Genomic DNA, 17,933 nt, shown 5'->3' on the forward strand with positions numbered 1-17,933 from the left:
GAAAGTTCTAGAGGGCTTCAGCTCACTTGGCAGAAGTGGCATGGCCTACCCAGCCACCAGGGAGCTAGGAAGGATAGTCCTGCCATGTGCCCAGAAGGAGAGGAGGCCCACACATTTAGCATGCCATCGTCTGCAAGTAATGGACAGCCTGAATCAAAGAAGCTTAAATAATCAGGGGATTATTATTTCACAACATTGAGAATCCAGAAGTGGTTGGGATCTAGACAATATGTGGTATGATGAGGAACTCATTGATGTCCTTAAGGACTTTAGTTTTTTCTCTCTGAGCTCTGCTATCCTTGACTTGGCGGTTTGCTCTCAGGCAGGCTTCGCTCTTGGCCATATGCTGCTGCGGCGGTTCTACATAACACTTTTGGAAACGACAGTCTAGAGAAGAGGGGGATAGGAAGAAACGGATACTTTTTCTTAAGAAAAATTCCCCAAAGCCCCCAGTTAGGTTTCCCACGTATCAGTGGGAGGAATTGTAATATACCCATTCTGAACCAGTTACCATGATTGGTTTAGAAATGAGAATCTCTTTGTTGGAGTTAGGGGCAGGGTTGACTTTCTCCTGAAGCACATGGCTATTTGCAGGACAGGTAGATACTTCAACAAAAGTGGGGTTTGATCAAGAAGAGAAGTGTAGAATGAGCCTCCAGCAATGTCTGCCATACTCACTGCGGTGCATGTACATACGATTGAGACTTTTGTCTCTAGAGGTGATGGGAGATGCTAATTTTTGATGAGTGTAATATGATACATAAAAGAGAGACTTGAGTGGACAAGGGGTATCCTTAACGTTAAAACTTGGTTTTCAAGCAAAATGTCATTATTTGTACAGACGTCAACATTGTATGCAAAATACTGCAGTAGGTAGGTGCCAGTTTATACTTTACAGGAAGACAAGGCCTCAATACATAATCTCTTATTAGTTTATAGAACGACTACTGAAACAAACAGAAACCTACATGAAGCAAACCAGTAATGGGCCGATGTATTTAGTGCCTCTGAAACAGTTCTTGTTTGAGTGAGATAAAACTCAAGTGTGAATTTAATTAGTTTTTATTTCATTTCTTGCTGACTGTTAGAGATTTGTTAGTAATGTTGTACTGATGTCCTTCTGTGTTTCAAATAAGGCTTGGAGTTTTCTTTGAGGTTTTGAAAAAGGTGTGTTTTAATTTTTCTCTTTGTAGTGCAGGCCATACTGGGATACTTCTACCCATTTGTATGGGGTGTCCCCATTTTAACTTCTGAAAAGTTTGCTGCTTTTCTGTTCTTTCAGGGCTAACCTTCACTCCTTTTCTGACGTCGCTGACTTCTGAAACTGGCAGTGTGCTGGTAGAGGTAGACTCTGTCTATTATAGCTTAAATATAAAGCTATAAACACATGTAGTTTTTCTTCTCTAAATTCTTTAGCAAGACACCTGTGGTCCTCAGCTGGCACAGAATACCTGGTTGCCTTGGTGCTTGCTTACCTTGGGCCACCCTTGTGCTGTTTTCCAGTTTTGCAGCTCTTTTTGCGGCTTGCTCTTTCACCTGCTTGCAGACCTGTGTGAACAACTCAACCTGTGAATATTTCCTGCAAAAACGTTTTCATCTTGCCCATTTGGCTCTGGGCCCTTAAGGTGTTTGTTTTCGTGAGCAAGGCCTTTTTCACTGGTGTGTTCGGATTTGAAAGAAATATGTTCAATTAGTTTTCAGCTGTGGAAAGTTCTAGTTTAGGGACACTTTTAAATAAAAGCTCGTCGGTTATAGTGTGGTAGAGGCAGCATGCATTTCGACCCCATGAGCGGAGCTTCTGCAAATGTAAAATGCCTTTTTCTCCAAGTGCTCTAAAAAATATACATTTAAAGTTTATTATTAGCAGAGAGTAGAAATCTTTTTCCCTATTCTAAGAAAAGTTGTTGCACTTTGGATGGTAAAATTGTAATTGTAACTTTTTTTTCTTACCCCTATAGGGTACCTTTACCAAAGTAAATCATTTTGGCTTCCAGTGATTAATAACATAGCTTTTAAAAAGACAAAATGAAACACCTAATTCAGGCCAGTAAACTGACATTTCCAAGATAAGGGAAAAGCACTAAGTAACTTGGAAGCTAAGTAACTTGGTGAAGATTTTTGTCATCTAGTAAATGGGTATCCTTTCGTGCTCAACCCATGCTGTTATGATAGTATTCTCTCCTTACTCCGTTTCTTTAGATAAAAGCAAAACCTTTATTTCTTTGTGCATCTTTGGGTAGTCACAGAAACCCCTAATTAGCAAGCAAATAAAAAAAATTTAGCTTCTTTTTGCTAAAGTAAAGAGCCTCTGACACCTTAACTAGGTACTGTTGAGTGGATTGGTCTGAGGCAGAGATGTGACATCTTGTTAAGTTTGTAACTTTCCCTAGTAAATCCATTTCAGAAAAAATTTCAGTTTATGACTGCACTTGCATTTTGCATGTGGAAAACCCGTGCCACCAGAGTGAAGGATTTCCTTAGGAGTTGAAACAAAACAAAACAAAACAAAACAAAAAAACGATCTTTCCACCTCTTTGAAAATTGCTTCCTTTTAAGGATAATGAACCAAATGCAAATTACCTTCTTTTCACATGGTGATTGCAATAAGGGGAGAATGGAGGCTCTTGTTGAATCCAAGTCTTTCTAAACTAAGGAAAAAGGAAAATTTTGTGTTTAATTCCTGTGTAATGTTTACAGAGCCGACTGTGATGTTCTGGAGTCAAAAACAAGATTTATATGGAAATGTTGATTTGTTGAATTTGTGAGTCTGCTTTGTGGGAAGTACATAGGATAGAGAGAACAGTCCTTAAGACAACTTGTAGCTACTTTAAAAAATTACATAAATATGACAGAGGGTGATTTAGTACTATGTGGTGGGATCCGTATCAAGGGTTTGCATGCCTATAATGGTATGGAGTGTATCAGATGGCCCTGTCATTCAGTGAGAAGACTGCTGCAGAAAAAACACAGGTAAAAATAATTGTCTTGCAACCTCAAAAAGTTTGGGAAAATGTTTAAAAAATGTAATCATTTCCATAGCTTAAAAAAATCTCCACTCACCTGTTAAATGAAAACTCTTTTCAGCCTTAGGTCAGTGTGTACTTTTGGAGATTCTGTTGTGTTTGCAGCTAAAATGTTTCTGAATTTATTCACAAAGATATTTCTTTGGAAATGCAACAGACAGAGGATGCATAGAGAGATGGGAAGAGTTAGCTATATTGAGTATGTTCTCATTTGTGTCTTTGGCTTAAGTAATATTTGTCAAAATCTCTTGAACATACTAAATATTTGTCTTAATTTCAAGATCTTGCTTGAAATGTAACCACACTGATATGCTTACTTTCCCTTGGCTATGCTTTGATGGCTAAAATTAAGGACTAATAACGAAATGACTAATTCTACCCACCCAAATTAATCTTGTTCAGAATTAGTGATATCTTCAAGTTTCTGTAACTGGTGGTTGACTGACTCAGTTAAGAGCGGGTTTTGCCTGAGCATTAAAATCATCTTACCATTTATGTATCATTTCATCATTAGCTATATTGTTCCTCCCCTCCCCCAACCCAATCTTCTCTTTTGCAGCCTTGCTCTTTCTTTGGGAAATAGAAAACTAAAACCCTGGGAATGAAATATATAGTTAGTGACTAATTTCATCTTGGCTTAAATGGATATGATTCATCTAGTTTTTATAATCTTCCGGCTGTTCTCAGACCTGTGTCTCTTTGCCCCTTGGGTTCCATACTTGTCTTTGTATTTCTGTTTCTATTAGAAATGATAGTAGTGCCCCCAGAATACTGGAGGTTGAAAACTGGCAGTTCTAAGGGATGGATACTAGTGGTCTACAGATTTATATTGTTTGATCAGTGGTGTGTTTAATTTTTAAAAATTAATTGTCAGTATGAAATAATAAGATTATTTCCAGTGTCTCTTGAAAAGAAGCACAAAATCTGGCAACACCAGGCCCACATTCCTGCATGAAGTGAAGCAGCAGCTGCCTCCGTAGATGATACATACACATGGTCTCCTGTTCCCAGTCCCGTTGAATTCCCTTCATTTTATATTACTTGCCTTGGCCCTGTAGGCATTTTCAGTTTGCAGTCCGAGATCTGTAAGTTTTCTCATCACAGATGGGTTCCTATTTTTGTGATATTCGATTAGGTTTTCTACCTTGATTGCTGCTGATGCTGTGATAGCCTGTGAACTGGGGAAAGCAATGTGTGGTTTTGGCAGCCAGGTAGAATTGGGTTTGAATCCTGGTTTCACCGTTTACCAGTTTTACGTCAGCTCTCAAAGCTTCCGATTCCTCCTGTGTGGAATGGATATAATCCCACCCCCTGGAGTGGTTGTGGTCTTGGTGCAAGGCTCTCTCTGTTGCCCTTCTTTAGTTTTCTTCCTCCACGTCCACATTGTAAACTAGAGGACATAATTTAATTTTGTAGGAATTCAGAGTTTGAGGAGAGGAAGGGTGAATATAAAATGGGATTTAAACAAGGTGGGTTTTTTGTTTGTTATTAGTGGCCTGCTTAGCAAAACTTGATGAAATTTACAGTGATACCTCTTGGAATGAGTGTCTCCCTGGCATTATTTTGTTTTGTTTTGTTTTATTTTATTTTGTTTTAGACAGGGCTGCCTAGGCGGGAGTGCAGTGGCACAGTCATGGCTCACTGCCATCTCGACTCTCTGAGCTCAGGTGATCCTCCTGCCTCAGCCTCCCAAGTAGCTGGGACTACAGGCACCTGCCACCACACTGTCCAGCTAGTTTTTTTGTATTTTTTGTAGCGATGGGATTTTGCCATGTTGCCCAGACTGGTCTTGAACTCCTGAGCTCAAGCAATCTGCCCGCCCTGGCCTCCCAAAGTGCTGGGATTACAGACATGAGCCACTGTGCCTGGACTTCCCTGGCATTTTTAATAACAATGCTGCATATGTGCAGACTCTCTGGAGATCGACAAATCTTGTTAAAACTTAAAAGCATTGCAGCATCTCTTTCAAATATTCTGGAAGGAATGGTGATAATTAAATGGTACTGTTCTCTAAGCAAGGTGTTAAAAGAATATGGTTTATTAAGAAATGATGGTAGGGCCGGGCGCAGTGGCTCACGCCTGTAATCCCAGCACTTTGGGAGGCCGAGGCGGGCAGATCACGAGGTCATGAGATCGAGACCATCCTGGCTAACACGGTGAAACCCCGTCTCTACTAAAAATACAAAAAAATTAGCCGGATGTGGTGGCGGGCGCTTGTAGTCCCAGCTACTTGGGAGGCTGAGGCATGAGAATGGCGTGAACCCAGGAGGCGGAGCTTGCAGTGAGCCGAGATCGCGCCACTGCGCTCCAGCCTGGGTGACAGAGCGAGACTCCGTCTCAAAAAAAAATAAATAAAAATAAAAAAATAAAAAATAAAAAAAAAAAGAAATGATGGTATTAGTAATGTAAAGAAAAAATAACAGGCCTTCTACAAATTTGAAGTAGAGGTACTGAATTTGATACATTTCTGTAAGCATTTTTCTTTTTTTAAAAAAATAATGACAGAGTCTCACTATGTTGGCCAGGTTGGTCTTGAACTCTTGGCCCTGAAGCAGTCCTCCTGCCTCAGCCTCTCAAAGTGTTGGGATTATAGGCATGAGCTGCCGCACTGGTCCTCTGTAAGCATTTTTTAAACAGATTTAGAAAATACTGGGAAAAATGTCCTACACTCTATCCTCATTATAATTAGATGATCTTAAACCTAATGAAGATCTAAAGCTTTTACTTAGTATGTGAAACCTAAGTAATATTTTTTATTCTTAATAACAATTAATATGGATTTTTAAATTAATAAATTATAAGTGCTATGAGTATTCCTCACCACCCAGCTAAATAGAATCCTGTTTTTGTTCTAGAAAATTGACTGTCTGCATTTGTAAAGCTATGGTTTTGATGTACTTTGTATCTAGTTCAGGTCGTCACTCATCTGTATTGAACAGATTGAGTCCTAAAGAGGGAATTGATTGTTTAGGATCCTGTAAATAATTATCGGCTGACACTGAACCCAAGTCTTTTCCATTCAGTTTATAATCTTTCTGTAATTATTAAAAAAAAAAAACCTTAAAAGAAACTAGTGTTTTTCTAGAAATTACTTCTGTTTTCTTGATTTTTATTTTTTTATCTTTTTTTTTTTTTTTTTTGAGAAGGTCTCACAGTTTCACCCAGGCTGGAGTGCAGTGGCGCAATCTCGGCTTGCTGCAGCCTCCACCTCCTGGGTTCAAGCGATTCTCCTGTCTCAGCCTCCTAAGTAGCTGGGACTACAGATGTGTGCCACCATGCCCAGCTAATTTTTGCATTTTTAGTAGAGACGAGGTTTCACCATGTTGGCCAGGCTGGTCTCGAACTCCTGACCTCAAATGATCCACCTGCCTTGGCCTCCCAAAGTACTGGGATTACAAGTGTGAGCCACCATGCCCTACCTGTTCTCTTGATTTTACGTGATTTTCATGTAGATTTATGCTTTGAATTTAAATTTTAAAAATTAGAACAATTCTTTAATTTTGCGACCTTGGTTTTTATGATTAATCTAAGTAGGATATAAATTGCTCAAAGGAAATACCTCTATTGCATGTATATAATTCATTTTAAAATATTGATTATTTTTTAATTTTACCATAATGGTTGCAATAGAGGTGTTTATGGAAAAGAGTTCTTAGTGTTTTTATCCTAGAAATATAAATTGTAAAATATCTAAAACAACAGTTGTTACTTTTTAACACTCCTTTAAATACACTTTGCAGCTAAATCCACAAAGTCTACCAGTCTAAGGATCCACCTAGCCAATTAAAATTTTTATCCAGAAATTTTCCCCGTATGACTCAGTTACTAATTTTTTTGTTCTCTAGCAATCACTTCTCCCTCCGGGCTATGCATGAGCTCCCAAGCTGTGTAGAGAAGTAGCCAACCTGTGCAGCTAAAGTGGTTGCAGTAACTTGTCTGTTCTACTGCTCTTTGAGTGTCCTTTTTTCTGCATAACTCTGCATGCTTCTGAAATAAGTATATAGTGTGAAACCTGAAACTGTGTTCTCTGACCTCCGGTGGAACTCGGGAGGAAGCAGGGCGCTACCAAAAAGCAGGGGAAGATCACCCAGTGCTTTTCCTATAGGTTGAGTAGGCCCTGGACATCTGCTGTCTTCAGCCCTGGACTCTACCTTTTGCCAGGTTTTCTAGTCTCCCGTGCAGCAAGTCATGCGAACACCTCATTCAGCCTTTTGCAGCCTGTACTGAACTGCTGTCGCTCATCGCACCCTTGTTTTGGGATGGAAGGAACTCCGAGACTGCTACACAGCTACTATTTCTGTCTGATTCCTCTCAGATCTTACTCTTTCTCAGTCCCTCTTTTTTAGTTTTCTCACTGTCAGAGTCAGTCAGTCCATGGTGCTGTGACACTATTGTTTGGTGACACTATGCTATTCTCTACTGTATTTCTTTCTCTGTCTACTTTCTGGACTCTTTGACATCATACCTCTGTCTTCGTGACTTTTCCCAGTAGCACCAGAGATTTTTTTTTCTATGGGGCAGACCTAGATTCTGTCTCTTCAGTTGGTAAACGCTTAAATGCTCAAATAGTTTCTGTCTTAAAAATCAAGCTGGGTGCGGTGGCTCACACCTGTAATCCCAGCACTTTGGGAGGCTGAGGCGGGTGTATCACCTGAGGTCAGCAGTTCAAGACTAGCCTGACCAACATGGAGAAACTCCATCTCTACTGAAAATACAAAAATTAGCCGGGCGTGGTGGTGCATGCCTATAATCCCAGCTACTTGGGAGGCTAAGGGAGAAGAATCGCTTGAACCCGGCAGGCGGAGGTTGCAGTGAGCCAAGATCAAGCCATTGCTCTCTAGCCTGAGCAACAAGAGTGAAACTCCATCTCAAAAAAAAAAAAAAAAAAAACAACAACAACCAAAAAAACACAAAACAAACAAACAAACAAAACCATTTTTACCTGCAGCTGCTGTTCTGTTTTCTTATACCTCTGTTCATTTATAGGCAGATTATTCTTTCTCACCTTTCATTTGTCCTCAGCCCCATCCACTTTGGGTTCTGCCTCTTCCTTATTATGGATTTAATTTTCTTGTTGGTTACCAAAATGGGGATGCTAGTCACACTTATGTCCTATGGTTCTTGGGGATGAAATGAAATTGGGGATGAACCAAAATGGGGATGCTAGTCACACTTAACGTTCATCTTGGGGATGAAGTGGGTTCTTACTTGTACAAGGGAGGCCAAGGCAGGTGGATCACCTGAGGTCAGGAGTTCGAGATCAGCCTGGCCAACATGGTGAAACCCCGTCTCTACTAAAAATACAAAAATTAGCTGGGCCTGGTGGCGCATGCCTGTAAGCCCAGCTACTCGAGAGGCTGAGCACCAAAATGGGGATGCTAGTCACACTTACGTCCTAGGGTTCTTGGGGATGAAATGGGTTCTTACTTGTACAACTCTTGAAGTGGTGTGCCTGGCATGTGACAAGCATGCAGCAGATGTGATGCTAGCTTTCATTATTATTGGCTATTTGCCATATCCACGGATGTCATCTTGTCCCTTGTCTCCTTTAATTATTGACAGAAGTTGACACAAGTGATCATCTCATCCTTTAAAAAGTGCTTTCTCTCTTCCCTTGGCTACTAGGACACTTTACTGTCGTCGTTCTTTTCCAGTGTCATTGGCCATTTTCAGCTCCTTCATTAGTTTCTCTCCCACTTGTCTTTTAAATGCATGTATTTCTCAAGGATCTCTTCATCTAAATGTCCTTCCCTCAAATTGCTGTCTTGTGCATTTTCCTTTTTAGTTAATACTATTATATCCTCCAAGTCACTCAGGATTGTTACCGTGAAATCATCCAGAATTCTGTCTCCTCCTTTGTCTCCCTTTTCAGACCACTCCAAAGCTGACCTTTTTTCAAATTTTGTTGATTGGACCTACCCCATCTTATGCATGGCCTTCTCATGTTCGATGCTACGATCCCATTTTGGATATCTGGTCATTCTCTTTTTCTGTCTTCTCATTACTGTCAGAGTTCTCTTTCTTAAAGTTCAGCCCTAATGTCACTCCCCATTGCATGAAGTGGTGGTCTCCAAAGAGGGGCGCTGGCATAATAGGAGGTATGCAAATAAGTACATTTGGATATGAAAAGAAAATATTCAAGCTGTATTTATGCTTAAGTTAAGCTTTACTAATATTTGGTGCATGCATTGGTACCTTTATTGGCTCTATAAGCCATTTGCTCATATATCTTGAAGTACCCAAGGGAAGACTGCAAGATGAATTAATGGTCTTCCACTGTTTGTTGCTTCTCAGCATATTGCAGTCTATTAAAGCTTCCATGTATCTGCTTAAGTAGATCTACAGGGTAAAGCATGTAGTTTTTAAGATGCATGTGTTCTCAAAAAGGGTAAGTGACATAAAATATTTGTACAGAAAAGGGGCCGGGCGCAGTGGCTCACGCCTGTAATCCCAGCACTATGGGAAGCCAAGGCGGGTGGATCACGAGGTCAGGAGATTGAGACCATCCTGGCTAACATGGTGAAACCCCGTCTGTACTAAAATTACAAAAAAAAATTAGCTGGGTGTGGTGGCAGGTGCCTGTAGTCCCAGCTACTCGGGAGGCTGAGGCAGGAGAATGGCGTGAACCTGGGAGGCGGAACTTGCAGTGAGCCGAGATTGCGCCACTGCACTCCAGCCTGGGCGACAGAGCGAGAAGGGGGAGCTTGCAGTGAGCCGAGATCGCGCCACTGCGCTCCAGCCTGGGCGACAGAGCTAGACTCCATCTCAAAAAAAAAAAAAAAAATATATATATATATATATATATATATAAAATATATATATATTTGTACAGAAAAGGAGAATTGGAGATAATAATGTAAGATGAATAGGATTTAGATAGGTGGAGAGGAAAACTGTTTCAGTCAGCAAGTTCAACGTGTGGGAACTGGGGAATGTCAGCCTGGCTTTGGGGGCAACTTGAGGTTCCTTGGTGCTGCATTTTGGGGAATAACTTTCTTTCTTCTGGTTTCGTGTTTGCATGCTTGTATGGGATGGGCATTCACTGGGATAATACTCCTGGCCTCTCTAGTAACTCCCTCACTTTAGTCTTCCCTAGGGGAGGAGAAGTGACTTATCTTCGAGTTTGGAAAAAGGAACTGGGCCTGTCTAGTTTCAGCTCATTCCTTTCCTACAGATCTTGCATTCTGCTGTGCTTGTTCACGCTGTGAGTTTTATAGGGGCAGTCCTCCTCAGGGAGGCCTCTGCCTGGTGAGCTGCACCTGTGACTAGGTAGAGAAACTGGCCTAATTCTGGGGTGAAATATTAGCCAAGACCACTCAACTAATAGAGCTAAGCTACCTTTTCCAACCTACGCTTTATTAGTAATAAAGCTATTATCTGTGTATATCACTCTATATAATATATCAGCTGTATATTATATATCAGATAAATATATATTTTTCTTTCTGGCTTTCCTGTCTTACTGGTTTTGAACTTGGGCTGGAAAAATAAGGGTGTTAAATATTGAATCTCTTTTACTTCAACACCAAAGACTTCATCTCTAAAATCGAGTTACCAATCACTAACTCTTAAGAGTTATGTGAGGGTAACAAATTTAAAATGAGAAGTTTTTGAAAGATAAACTGTCTACAGATGTATAGATTTATAAATGTTCTTGGGGGTGGAAAGTAGAAACAAGCTGGGACCTGTTATTTTATAATTAACTGCCATCCACAGATTAAATTCTAGCTCCTGCCAGCCACTCTCCTGCCAGATCCTTGGATTACAAGAAATGGTGGAGGGGGTGGCAGTGAGTGGATACAGCAAATGAAAAATATCTCGCTTTGAGCATTTAACTCGGTATCAGGCCCTAAATCATAGTATTATGATATCTCAGTATATGGAAAGGAGACAATATCAGATCAGGAAAATTAATTTTCCAACAGGAATGGGGAAGGTTAAAATACATAATTTCAAAGGAGACCACTAAAACCGAGATTCCTTCAGCTTTTCAAAAGTGCCACAATGTTATTTGGCCTTCTCTCAGTTAATGAACAGTGGGAAATGTGCTTACATTGGCTTAAGAGAGCCAAAACCGCAATTCCTGCAACCACTTGAGAAAGTCCTAGAATTTGGGAGAATAAACCCATTACTGTATAAAACTAGAGAGAAAATCATTTGCAGTTTTCTGTTGGATTTGATCCATTCTTCCGTACATGAAAAGTTACGGCCCATATATGGCAAAACCCAATTCAGTTTTTGAGCGCTTTAAATGAAATGATTGAACAGTTTGGAGCATGACTTGCCTGTGGCATAGGCGTGAAATCTTAGGTAATGACTCATAAGAATTACTGTTGCCACAGAGTTTTAGAATGCAAGAATTGATCTGTCTCTGAAAATATTTATATTTGATTGCATTTCTAAATAGGTAAGTGGGTAACAGCTGTTTGAATCTGGTGGCATGTGTGTTTGGAGGCATGGGGGAGAATATAGACTGTACTGCTTTTGTGTTAGAGAAATTGTGCTGTTTTATTTTTTCCTATCTGGTTAAATAGAGTACAATAGCAGAAAACCAATCAGTTCAGGGAGTGGCCCATTTCAGTGTGGCCCTCTTCATCCACAAAGTGGTTTGGAATGAAAAATGCTAAGATGCAGTATTTGGCTGGCACTTAGATAACTAAGAAAAGAGAATTGACTTAACTGTAGCAAAGAGAGTTGACGTGAGGCTCAAGTCATCTTAGGGCTCCTAGGAGAGGATGAGAATCCATTAGCACCTCTATATCTGGGGAGAGGGGTGTTGCCAAGAAGGCCTGTTTTGTAAGTTTGTTTTCATTGACACTGAATTTAATTTATATCTTAGAAACTATCCAGAGAAGTCTAAAGTTAAAAGTTTGAGAACTGCAATGTAGTAGTCAAAGAGGCCACAGCTTGGATGAAAAATTTCAGCTGCTATGATTAGAGAAAAACAAAAACAAATTAAAAATCAATATTGTCTCCCTTTTTTCAAGCCCCTGATCAGTCAGTAGTCACCTTGAGAACCAAAGGGATTGAATACAGTGGAGAGGATCCAAAAACGGAACCAGACATGACCTGTGAGGCAGGAAGTACAGCATGAACTTTTATTGAAAACAGCTCAACAGTGATATCATTGGCTGACGATGGAGGAGGCTATTTTATATCTCTCTGGAATATAAGTTTAAAAATTACATTACTCTGTAAACAACAGAAACAGTACAACAAAAGTTTCTTTAACAACCATACCTATCTGTAATACAGGCAAAAATGAGAAAATAAGTTGGAAAATTCTCTGTCCTAAATTGGAAGTCACTAAACCTTACCCAGATCAAATTTTATTATCTTTAAATATAATTCTGCTGAGCTTAGTTACGTGGTTATATTAGAAACATGCAAGTGGAAAAGAGGCTGCTCTAGGCATTCTCAGTGACAATAATCAAACCATTATGTAGGTGGGGAGGAGAAATTATATGATTACCTAACAATGAAAAAGGAGATGGGGGAAAAAAAGACTAGAGAGAGCAAATACCGGAAACTGGGTTTTATTAGGATAAAAGCAAACAATTTATGCCTTAGTAAGCTTTTAGCTATCAGAATTATAATTTTAGTTTATAGGTATCAAGAAAATGATTTATATGCTGTATTCTCTGGGGTGATGGTGGGGATGACAGTCTGTTAGTGATGGCTGCTATCCTCATTGATCATCAAGGTTGAATTAGAAATAAACTATTGAAAGTTTAATATATCATCTATAAATGATTGCTAATAATAAAGATAGACTAAGTCCTTAAAAGAATAACTCTGATATCTAGAAATTATTAAGAACTGCTCATTCGCTTAGCATTCTGTATCAAACTTTCAGAGATTATTTAACTGAAAGAAACAAAGTCAAGTGTGATTAGAAATTGTAGATCAGAAATATATTTGAATTTTAGTGGAACATTAGATGTAAATCTTGACTAAGCCTTTTAGTATTGTGGAATCAGAAGTCCAGAGGTAGGAATGTTCTTAAAGAGGATTTTATGTAATCCCTGGTTTCTGCCAGGCTGTTTTGAAGCGTTTTATTTTAGAAAAAGTATTGACCAAGTGAAAAAAGATGATTTCTGATTTTGAAATGAGTAGAATAACTAGATGTGATTGCTGTGGGGAGGGAGGATAAACAACTTTAAACAAACTCTTGTGTAATCATGCGAGGATTCAAAGGATGTATTCTTTGTTTCTAAAATGCATCTTTTTTTTAAACATTCACAGAAATGTCACCAAGATGCTCTGTCTTTCATATACCAGGAAAAATAGGCCATTACTGTTTGTTGTCTGGATCCAATGGCTCTTTTGTAATGTTTGTGCAGTTTTCACTTTACAAATAATGTACAGAACAATAAAAGGATAGGGAGAACAGCTTTATTAGAATACTTTAATAAGAATTTAAGCATAGTATACCCAAATTCTTCTTCCATGATGTATTCCAAATGAGTAATGTGCTAAAATGCAGCTAACTGTTCATCAACTGTTATACGTGAATCTAGAACATTTCCATCTTATTAATACTGATTCCATATTTCAAATACATCTCTAATAAGTTCTACCTTATCATTACTTTTTGTTCTTCTTGTACTTACATCATCAAATGCCATGCTTGAAGAACTTTGTGAAATCTTGGACAACTCATAGTTCTGTTGAAGGAGGCCATCATCTTTCCTCCATGTTTGCAACATATTTTTCTTCCTAGGTTTGTAAAAAGCCAATTAGCATCATCAATCTAGTGAATATTTTTTATTTCCAAATCATGTATTTCCTACTAGTCTTTTTATTTTTATTTTATTTTTATTTATTTATTTTTGAGATGGAGCTTCACTTTTGTCACCCAGGCTGGAGTGCACTGGCATGATCTTGGCTCATTGCAACCTCCGCCTCCTGGTTTCAAGCGATTCTCCTGCCTCAGCCTCCCAGGTAGCTGGGATTACAGGCATGCACCACCACACCTGGCTAATTTTGTATTTTTAGTAGATATGGGGTTTCACCTTGTTGGCCAGGCTTGTCTCAAGCTCCTGACCTCAGGTGATCCACCTGCCTTGGCCTCCCAAAGTGCTGGGATTCCAGGTGTGAGCCACCGTGCCCGGCCTACTCTGGTTAACATGTGTCAACTTGCAATCCAGTAACAACCATATGAAGTTTTGTTACAGGCCATTTTAGCAAAATGGTATGGTTCAAATTCTTATTGTAGAATATTGCACCATGTAGTCCTTTCTGTTGAATAACTTTTTGGATGAGAACACCATACATTCTTTTTGCATTTAGAAATATATTGGTGATGCATCGGTTCTTGAATTTGAGAAAATCCATGTAGGATGTCTTCATTAAAGATTCATAGTTTGGATTTCGCTTACACAGATTGAATATTCCATTTCCAAAATGTTTGGAACCGGAAGTGTTTTGGATTTTGGAATTTTTTTGGGGGGGGTGGGGAATATTTGCATATACATAATAAGATATCTTGGGGATAGGATCCAAGTCTGAACACAAAGTTCATTTATGTTTCCTATACACCTTATACACATAGTCTGAAGGTAATTTTATATAATATTTTAAAATAATTTTGTGCATGAAACAAAGATGGTATATACATTGAACCTTTAGAAAGCAAAGATGGTCTGGGCGCGGTGGCTCACGCCTGTAATCCCAACACTTTGGGAGGCCGAGGTGGGTGGATCACCTGAGGTCAGGAGTTTGAGACCAGCCAACATGGTGTAAACCTATCTATACTAAAAATACAAAAATGAACTGGGCATGGTGGCGCACACCTGTAATCCCAGCTACTTGGGAGGCTGAGGCAGGAAAATCGCTTGAACCCGGGAGGTGGAGGTTGCAGTGAGCCGAGATTGCGCCATTGCCCTCCAGCCTGGGCGACAGAGTGAGACTGTCTCAAAAAAAAAAAAAAAAAAAGAAAGCAAAGTTGTCACTATCTCAGCCATCCATGTGGATCATCTGAGGTGGTTTGGCATCACCATTGTTCCTGACTTTGAATGTATATGCTACCATTAAGCAATCATTTTCTTATACTTATTCACACATGAGTTCTTAACAGTGAGAAATATGACATACCATTAATACAGTGAAAAAATAATGTGTTCATGGTAACTAAGCCTGTAAGCAGAAAAGCATCAACAGAATTACCTGTACCATCTGTTAAACAACAGCCCCAATGAACAATGGCAGGTTTTTAGTCTCCACCTATAATGCTGTGTTTTTGTTTAAAAATTCACCCATCCGTACACTGATGATGTTGTGTTTTGATTAAAAGGTTAGTGCACACTGAGCTTTTTTAGGAGAGAAGAAACATCAGAAGCAGTTGAGGGACCAGGAAGTGGGTCCTCTAGTTATGAGGAGGCTTTCTGCTGGTTGGCTTCTAAAAATGTTTCCTCTAGAGTCATCTGCGTCGTTAACACTGGTTTTGATCTTAGACATCTCTCTTTGATTTTAAAAATTGATATGATTGATACCTTCTTCTGTTAAGAATGCACACTACTCTAGGCCTTCAGTAAGCCCATCAGCCATTTTCACCAGTCATCAATAAGCACTTCTTCTGCAGTGTTAACAATGTCCATTGCCTGCTTCTGGCATCTTATTGGCACTCAAAAAGTTTCAGATTTGGGAGCACTTCAGATTTCTGTATTAGGGACATTCAGCCTGTATGATCAGTTTCTTCTTCTTCTTTCTTCTGTCTTCTTCTCCTTTCATCAGAATCTGATGCTAGAGTGCTGTCATCTGTCTCTTTGCATTCATCTTCTGACGTAACTGTGCTGTGTCTCCATTTGTCACTTCTCTTTGCCATTGTGGGCAGAAAATGAAAAATTCTGAATTCTCAACTGTGTTCAGTGAAAGCTAAAAGCAGACTATAAAGTTAGTATGTTTAGTCTGAAACTCTTCTGGAAGGTTATGTAATGTTGTGGGTAATGCAATAAGAAAACTAAAGGATGATAATATAATAGTAATAATTTATTTCATCATTATATCGTATCATGGAAAATAGGATTCCATTTTTCTGTTCTGTTTTCTTTATTTTTTTTAAGCATAATTGGCAATAATTGATGTGTAATAGTGAAATAATTCTTAGGGTGATGAAATAAAGTGTTTTAAGATACAGGAAAAGCGAGATCACTAGGATCCCATAACATATCTTGGGTTGATGAAATGCTCCAGTAGACCCATCTGGCTTGAAAGATAGTGAATTTTATTGTTTTTAAAAAATAATTAAATTTAAATTGGGCATGCTGGCTCATGCCTGTAATCTCAGTACTTGGGGAGGCCGATGTGGGTGGATCGCATGAGGTCAGGAGTTCAAGGCCAGCCTGGCCAACATGGTGAGACCCCCATTTTTACTAAAAATAAAAAAATTAGCTGGGCGTAGTGGCACATGCCTGTAGTACCAGCTACTTGGGGGGCTGAGGGATGAGAATGGCTTGAACCTGGCAGGTGGAGGTTACAGTGAGCTGAGATTGTGCCACTGCACTCCAGCCTGGGCTACTAAGCAAGACTCTTTCTCAAAAAAAAAAAAAAAAAAAGATTTTCTCTTTCTTTTTGTTCTTTGGAAGGTGTCCAAGAAAAAAACAAGTAACAAAATACAATCCTTATATATAGTTAGAACTGCTCAAAAAAGAATTCCTCTCCCACCCCCCCAAAAAAAACTCTAAAATTGAGTACAATGGACCTTTATGGTATGCTGAGGCCCAGTCAAGGTTGTAAGCAGTATGTGATGTTCTTGGAAGCCAAAGGGAAGAGATGAATGTGGGAAGCAACAGGAATGAAAAAGGCTTGGATTTTGTCATGCTGGGAACCCTAGGCTGCTGGAGTTTTGAGAGTCTCCTTATTTAAACTTTAGTTTCTGTGGTACTGCTGAATTGGATCTACTCTAAGATCCCCACCCCACTTAATTTTTTTCTTTTTAACATGTTTCACAGGTTTTAGCTGCTGGAAAACATCAAGCAGTATAATGGGACATTTGTGTTAGCTACAAGTCTCCATAGGTAGAAGGTGGAACGTTGTCAAAGCCCTTCAAAACCTGTAATGTTGTTTGAACTTTGTACTTCATGATTTTTTTTGGAGCTTCCCTATGGCCTTGATATAGTTTACCTTACTTGTCTCCCTGAGATAAAGTAGTGCATTTCAGAGATGGGTGTTGTGAGAACTTTGGCTACATGGAAAGTTTCCTTGTTGTTCGTTTGTGTGTTTTCTTTATTCATACTTCTTTGCCTCCAAAACATGCCAGATTTTTAGGGAGGTTAATTTCCTAAATAAAATTATTTTTGGGGTGAGGGGGATGGGTTCTGTTTGTTTGTTGTTAACCAAAATGTAGTGTATCTCCACCCTAAATGTTGAGGAAGCTCAAATAACTGAAATTTGAAAAGCCATTGCTGATGTTGCTGTGAATTTGGTAGAAAATGACACAACCCTGTCTTAGTTCGTTTAGGCTGCCATTATAAAATATCATAGAATGTGTGGTTTTATAAACAACATAATTGATTTCTCACAATCCTGGAGGCTGGGAAGTCCAAGATCAAGTTGCCGGCAGATTCCTTGTTGATGGAGGCCTGTTTCCTGGCTTATAGTTGGCCATCTTCTCACTGTGTACTCACCTGGCAGGAAAGGCAAGGCAGCTCTCTGGGGCTGCTTTTATGAGGTCACTAATCTCATTCATGAGTGCTTTGCCCTCACAACATCATCACCACCCAAAGGTCTCACTTCTAACACCGTCACATTAGGGGTTAGTATTTTAATACATGTTTTTTTGTGGGTGGGGGCACAAACATTCAGTCTGTGTAGCAGCCTTCTTGTGATATATGTACTGATTCATTGGCTCCTTCATTGGTCTGTTGTCCAAAATCTGGTTAGCTTGGATAGATTTAAGGCCAGGTATAA

The 17,933-nt window shown here is 39.3% G+C and overlaps 1 protein-coding gene and 1 long non-coding RNA gene across 5 annotated transcripts in view, besides 3 other annotated features; one reads left to right on the forward strand and one right to left on the reverse strand.

The window, feature by feature from the left end:
* PHLPP1 (PH domain and leucine rich repeat protein phosphatase 1) overlaps nt 1–17,933 on the forward strand; it is a 264,893-nt gene that overhangs the window by 40,730 nt on the left and 206,230 nt on the right. The window lies entirely within an intron of this gene.
* Nucleotides 1,047–17,585, reverse strand: LOC105372160 (uncharacterized). Of its 4 annotated transcripts, XR_007066398.1 has the most exons (5): nt 17,546–17,585; nt 13,637–13,742; nt 11,704–11,748; nt 2,581–2,648; nt 1,745–1,832 (listed from the first exon to the last, which is right to left on the reverse strand). It is a non-coding gene; the product is annotated as an uncharacterized LOC105372160 (long non-coding RNA). The 4 variants fall into 4 exon arrangements; XR_001753476.2 differs by having other exon boundaries at nt 1,047–2,648; XR_001753474.3 differs by lacking the exons at nt 1,745–1,832; nt 2,581–2,648 and adding an exon at nt 9,023–9,106.
* Nucleotides 3,631–4,601: an enhancer, noted in NCBI's record as "OCT4-NANOG-H3K27ac-H3K4me1 hESC enhancer chr18:60427134-60428104 (GRCh37/hg19 assembly coordinates)". NCBI's record gives its function as "activates a minimal SCP1, AML or CMV promoter by ChIP-STARR-seq in primed H9 embryonic stem cells {active_cell/tissue: H9 hESC(primed)}" and the evidence as "EXISTENCE:reporter gene assay evidence [ECO:0000049][PMID:30033119]".
* Nucleotides 4,602–5,571: an enhancer, noted in NCBI's record as "NANOG-H3K27ac-H3K4me1 hESC enhancer chr18:60428105-60429074 (GRCh37/hg19 assembly coordinates)". NCBI's record gives its function as "activates a minimal SCP1, AML or CMV promoter by ChIP-STARR-seq in naive H9 embryonic stem cells {active_cell/tissue: H9 hESC(naive)}" and the evidence as "EXISTENCE:reporter gene assay evidence [ECO:0000049][PMID:30033119]".
* Nucleotides 7,371–7,480: an enhancer, noted in NCBI's record as "active region_13437". NCBI's record gives its function as "activates an Ori minimal core promoter by ATAC-STARR-seq in GM12878 lymphoblastoid cells {active_cell/tissue: GM12878}" and the evidence as "EXISTENCE:reporter gene assay evidence [ECO:0000049][PMID:35858748]".

The sequence above is a fragment of the Homo sapiens genome, chromosome 18 (genome assembly GCF_000001405.40).
Source record: "Homo sapiens chromosome 18, GRCh38.p14 Primary Assembly".
Taxonomy (NCBI): domain Eukaryota; kingdom Metazoa; phylum Chordata; class Mammalia; order Primates; family Hominidae; genus Homo; species Homo sapiens.